Source organism: Homo sapiens, chromosome 12, assembly GCF_000001405.40.
Source record: "Homo sapiens chromosome 12, GRCh38.p14 Primary Assembly".
Classification (NCBI taxonomy): domain Eukaryota; kingdom Metazoa; phylum Chordata; class Mammalia; order Primates; family Hominidae; genus Homo; species Homo sapiens.
The window spans coordinates 53,701,505-53,707,697 of NC_000012.12; the positions used below are offsets into that span (position 1 = coordinate 53,701,505).

Genomic DNA, 6,193 nt, shown 5'->3' on the forward strand with positions numbered 1-6,193 from the left:
TTATTATGCTCTTACAGATGAGGAAATTGGGCTCAAAGAAGTTCAGGAACTTGCTCTAGGTCATACAGTTAGTAATCACAGGATCAAGATTTCAACCCAGGTAAGTGTAATTCCAAAGTCTGCACTCTTTCCCCTACACCTGGACTGGTTACATTTACTTTGACCTCAGCAGTGCCTCACTGAGTGGATCTATGCTGCTACTGATGTGACACTGGTCAGGAGACATGCTGGGCTCAATGATCCTTCCTAGACACCCAGAGTCCCAGAGGGGAGCCAGAAGTTCTGAACCTGACCTTTGGGGCTTCTGTGTTCAGTCACATTACTGCCTTCACCCAGGAGTGCCCACACGTAATCATGGGCACCGTCATTGTTGTGTGCAGTGTCACATCCAACACGCATTTGGACTCACACAGGCTGGCTACACCTTCCCATCTCCCAGGCGGTGGTGTGTGCAGCCAGCAGGGGTCGCCGGCACACCAGGAATTACCACTTTCTGGGTTTGTCTCCTGGCCCAACAGGATGGAAATGTTCCTCTTCCTGTGTTCTTCTAAAATCTTACATTAATCCCTTGCCTTCCCCGCCTTTCCCTCCTATCTCCTCCTATCCCCACAGAGCCAGTAGGTTTCTTACGACAAGCTGGGTAGTAGTAGCCCAGTAAGTAACACCCTAAGCTGCTGAACCCCAACCTAGACCAGAGATCAGGGATTCTGGCAGCCAGTTCTGCTTCAGGAATGGCCAGGGAGCTAAGAAGCCTGGAACACCCAAGCTTCTGGATCAGCCTTGGCTGGGGAGGACTCTCCCTCCTCTCAGTGCTTCCTCCAACTCATCTCAGCATCTGCCACTGTACCTGTCTTGACCATTCTTTCCTGTCTCAACGTCCATGTAAGCATCTGTCTCAGGATCTTCGGACCCTCAAGGCCCTGTAGCTCCCTCATCTTGGGAGGGCCTAAGAATGCAGGAGGAGGCAAATCTCTAGTGATCTGTGGCCAGGGGTTTCAGAGGAGAAATCATGGTTTGGGTAATACAGGGGAGGGATCCAGGTACCCTGCCTCACAACAGTAAGTGGGGGCCAGTCATTTGCTATCTGTAGGAAAGGAGTCCAGACACTGTCTGTGGAGGTAGCTGTGTCTGCCTTTTGGGAGGGACATCTCTTTTCTGCACCTCGTCTCTCCCCTGCTATAGCAACAGTGCCTCAGCTTTTCCATCCCCCCATCTCTCTGTTGACCCCCTCCCCTCAACTCCTGGAGCCCACTGATTGGCGGCTGCCTGCTGCAGGGCCAGCTAGGTTTATGGCTTTGCGGCAGCTGGGGAGAAAACGAGGCCAGAGACAGAAAAATGGAAACCTATCAAGAAATCAAGGATGGTGAGAGTAAGAGAAAGAGAGTCAGAGATAGAAGCAGAAAGACTCCAAGAATAATAGAAACAAAAAATCAAAATGATGAGAGGCACAGACTGAAGCGGAGACAGATACAAAGAAAATTGTAGAGATACTGATAAAAGATGATGAAAAGGTGATAGGGATGGGGAGAAGAGGGAGAGAAAAGCACAGACAAAACCATTAGGATAAATCCTGGGAGTAGGGATGTGCATGGCTTTCTAGGGGGACAGGAGTTGCTGGTAGTAGGTAGAGGCTGAGGCTGTCATTTAGGGACTCCCAGAAATCATTTGGTGGTACAGAAGAGGCTGGAGGATCTTGCAGCCAGTCCCAGTTCTCTCCACACCTGTTCCATGTCCATTTCCACACCCTCCTCCTGGAGTTGTTTTTGTTTGTTTTAAGACAGAGTCTCTTTCAGGCTAGAGTGCAGTGGCATGATCAGGGCTCACTGCAGCCTCGACCTTCCAGGTTTTAAGTGATCCTCCTGCCTCAAGCCTCCTAAGTAGCTGGGACTACAGACATGCACCACCATGCCTGGCTAATTTTTATATCTGTGGTAGAGATGGGGTTTCACCATGTTGCCTAGGCTGGTCTCGAACTCCTGACCTCAAGTGACCCACCTGCCTTGGCCTCCCAAAGTGCTGGGATTACAGGTGTAAGCCATTGCGCCCTGCCTCCCTCCTGGAGTTTTAAGGCTATTGCAGGTCCTCCTTAAGGATGACCCATGACCTAGTATGGAAGGATCTTGTTCCATGTTCCATGAAATGCAAGGGAAAACTGAGGTCTGAGATTTGGGAGGAATTTTAATATTAGAGCTACCCTTTTTTGAGCATGAAATAACTTGCAAGGTTGTTAGTTCTCTGTCATGGCATCTCATTTGACACATATCGCTTTTACCTTATATTACGGTTATTTCTCTGTATTGTCTTTTTGCTAATATATAAGCTCCTTAACAGCAAGATCTGTGTCAGCCCTTCTTTGTGGCTCCCACAGTGCCTTGTTCTTATTAAGTGAACCAATGAATGGCCCCTGGAGATGTTTAAGCAGAGGTTGGATGACTACCAACGAGAGATGTGGTCCAGGGAATTTCTTTACTGAATGAGTAACTGGAAATATATCTCTAAGAGCATTTTTGGTTTTGAGGTTCTGTGAGCCCATACATATGAACCGGGCTTTCCTGGTTCTTTCCCTACTTCTCCAAATATGCAGAGGTAAGAGGAAAAGTGGGAAACTCAAGATTACCAAGTACCTACCATGTGCCAGGCTTTGTACAAGGCATTTTACACATCTGATCTCATTCAATCTTCTCAATAACAGGCAGGTGTTAGCCACAGTTTGCAAAGAGGGCTTAAGATAGATGAAGTTTATATAGGGACATAAAGCCTGGGTGATTTCCATAATACCATGTTTCTTATAATTCGAAAGATTTACATAGTTTTAGAAAGGAGGAAAGGCAAAGAGGGAGTTGAGAAATGAAAGAAACAGGGAGAAGACATGGCTTCTAAATTCAGGGTTGGGAGAGAGATTCTGGACTCCAAGCCAGGAAAAAAAAAATCTACTTTTGTAAGTTAGAATAGGACATCTCTGCTGTCATGCGAGTATCAACAGACTTGGGGAAAGAAAAAGCGCGAAGGACCACGACAGGGGAATCCTGAAGATGGGGTATTGAGGACTGAAATCTTTTTTTAAAATTCCAGTTTTTAAAAAATAAATAGGGATGGGGGTCTCACTATGTTGTCCAGCCTGGTCTCAAACTTCTGGCTTCAAGCGATCCTCCTGCTTCAGACTCCCAAAGTGTTGGGATTACTGGTGTGAGCCACTGTGGCTGGCCTTGAGGACTGAAATCTTTGGCCCTGGGTTATGGGACTGGCAGTATGGGGCACAGAGGTGCAACAAAAATGCAGTCTTGGAGATTTCAGGCATTTGTTTTCCAGCTAGGAAGGATATTGTGAGTCTGAGGTGATTAAAGAACATTTGGGAGTCTGGGCATGTCCAGGCTGTGGAGGTCCTATTCTGTGGCAGGGCTTAGACCAGTGCTGTGCAGTAGAAATGTAATATGAATCAAACACATAATTTTAAATTTTCTAGTAGCCACATTAAAAAAAAAGGTAAAAAGATCCAGGTGAGGTTGGGCGCGGTGGCTCACGCCTGTAATCCCAGCACTTTGGGAGGCCAAGGTGGGTGCATCACGAGGTCAGGAGTTTGAGACCAGCCTGGCCAAGATGGTGAAACCCCGTCTCTACTAAAAATACAAAAAAATCAGCCAGGTGTGGTGGCGGGCCCCTGTAATCATTCCAGCTATTCGGGAGGCTGAGGCAGGAGAATTGCTTGAACCCAGGAGGCGGAGGTTGCAGTGAGCCGAAATCACACCACTGCACTCCAGCCTGGGCGACAGAGCGAGACTCTGTCTCAGAAAAAAGAAATTAAATGCTAACATTTATTTAAGCCGTATATCCAAAATGTTATTATTTCAATCTGCAATCAATATACACTTACTGAGCTATTTTAGGTTTTGTTGATACTAATTCCTTGATATCTGTTACATAATTTACATTTATATAATCTCAATTTGGACTAGCCACATTTCAAGGGTGGCTGGTGCAGCTGGCAGCTGCCCTAGTGGACAGCACAGGGTTCAGCTTTACATTTCTTCGAGTGTGCCTCACATCTGGCTAGCCAGAGGCAGCAAAATCTTTGATGGGGCAGTCCCAGACATCTCGGTTCCTACCCTTCATTTTTCTTATACTTTGGTTCAGAAGCCCTTGTGGCTTTTTTCTCTCTCTTTTTTTTTTTTGGCATAGTCTCACTCTGTTGCCCAGGCTGGAGTGCAATGGCATGATCTCGGCTCACAGCAACCTCTGCCTCCCAGGTTCAAGTGATTCTCCTGCCTCAGCCTCCCAAGTATTGGGATTACAGGCGCCCACCACCACACCCGGCTAATTGTTGTATTTTTAGTAAAGATGTGGTTTCACCATGTTGGCCAGGCTGGTCTCAAACTCCTGACCTCAAGTGATCTGCCCGCCTCGGCCTCCCAAAGTGCTAGGATTATAGGTGTGAGCCACTGCACCTGGCCTTGTTTTTAAAAATAGAGATGATGTCTCACTTGGTTGCCCAGGTTGGTCTCAAACTCCTGGGCTCAAGTGATCCTCCCACCTCGGCCTCCCAAAGTGCTGGGATTACAAGCATGAGGCAATGCACCAGCCTGAAGCCCTCATTTTTATGTCAGTCTGAAGACAAACTCCTAATTCCCACAGATCAGAAGAACTGTGTCTCTATTGCAGGTTCTGTGAAGTCCAGCTGTGCAGTAACTTCCACCTCCAACATTTTCCTCCAGCTCCTCTTGCTGAGCCACCAATGGCTGCTAATCCAGTGCTTTCCAGGAATTATTTCCCGGGCCTCCCTGCTGCACCTGCCACTACTGGCTTCTCTCCTTGATTCATTTCTCCTGAGTTTCTTCCTACCTCTCTGACTGATCCCTCTGTCTTCTCCATAATTCTGCATTCTCCATACCTCCCTTCCATGCTGTTCTCCTGAGTTCTGCCCTTGGTCCTCTTACCTTCTCTCTATACATGCAGGGAGACCTTTCTTTTTTTTTTTCCTTTTTTTTAGACAGAGTCTCGATCTGTTGCCAGGCTGGAGTGCAGTGGCTCGATCTCGGTTCACTGCAACCTCTGCCTCCCGGGTTCAAGCGATTCTCCTGCCTCAGCCTCCCGAGTAGCTGGGATTACAGGCATGCACCACCATACCCAACTAATTTTTGCATTTTTAATAGAGACGGGGTTTCATCATGTTGGCTAGACTGGTCTCGAATTCCTGACCTCAGGTGATCTGCCCGCCTTGGCCTTGCAAAATGTTGGGATTACAGGCGTGAGCCACTGTGCTCGGCCAGTTGTTGTACTGTTATTTTGTGTGTTTTTTTTTTCCCCAGATATTTTTGATCCATGGTTGGTTGAATCTGCAGATGCAGAACCCACAGATACAGAGGACCAATTGTATTTATTTAGTGAATGGCATCATCAGTTATCTGGTCATTGAAACCAGAAACTTGGGATAAACTTGACTCCTGCTCACTTCCCATACCTAGTTTTCACCAAGTTTCATTAATTCGGCCTCCTAAATAATTCTGCTTCTTTTCCCTTTGACACTAAGTTTGATGCTCACCATTTTTACCTGGATTATTACAAGATTCCTAACTGGTTTATCTGGACTTTCATGATCCGGCAATAGTGTATAATCTCCATGAGGGCAGAAATTCCTGTTTTGCTTTTGGTTTTTTAGGGACAGGGTCTTTCTCTGTCACCCAAAGCTGTAGGGTGCTATCATAGCTCATTGCACCCTTGACCTCCTGGGCTCAAGCCATTCTCCCACCTCAGCCTCCTGAGTAGCTGGGACTACAGGTACGTGTGTCACCATGCCAGGTTTACTTAAAAAAATTTTTTTTGGCCGGGCACAGTGGCTCACGCCTGTAAAGTCCAGCACTTTGTGAGGGTGAGGCGGGTGGATCATGAGGTCAGGAGTTCAAGCACAGCCTGACCAACGTGGTGAAACCCCGTCTGTACTAAAAATACAAAAATTAGCCGGGCATGGTGGCTCGCGCCTGTAATCCCAGCTACTCAAGGAGGCTGAGGCAGGAGAATCGCTTGAACCCGGAGACGGAGGTTGCAGTAAGCTGAGACTGCACCACTGAGCTCCAGCCTGGGCGACAGAGTGAGACTCCATCTCAAAAAAAAAAAAAATTTTTGTTTAGAGAAGGGATCTTGCTATGTTGCCCGGACTGGTCTTGAACTCGTGGGCTCAAACAACCCTCCTGCCTTGGCC

General features: G+C 47.3%; 1 annotated feature.

Moving 5' to 3' along the window:
• Positions 281–575: an enhancer, noted in NCBI's record as "tiled region #7415; K562 Activating DNase unmatched - State 12:CtcfO". NCBI's record gives its function as "activates a minimal TATA promoter and a strong SV40 promoter by Sharpr-MPRA in K562 cells {active_cell/tissue: K562}" and the evidence as "EXISTENCE:reporter gene assay evidence [ECO:0000049][PMID:27701403]".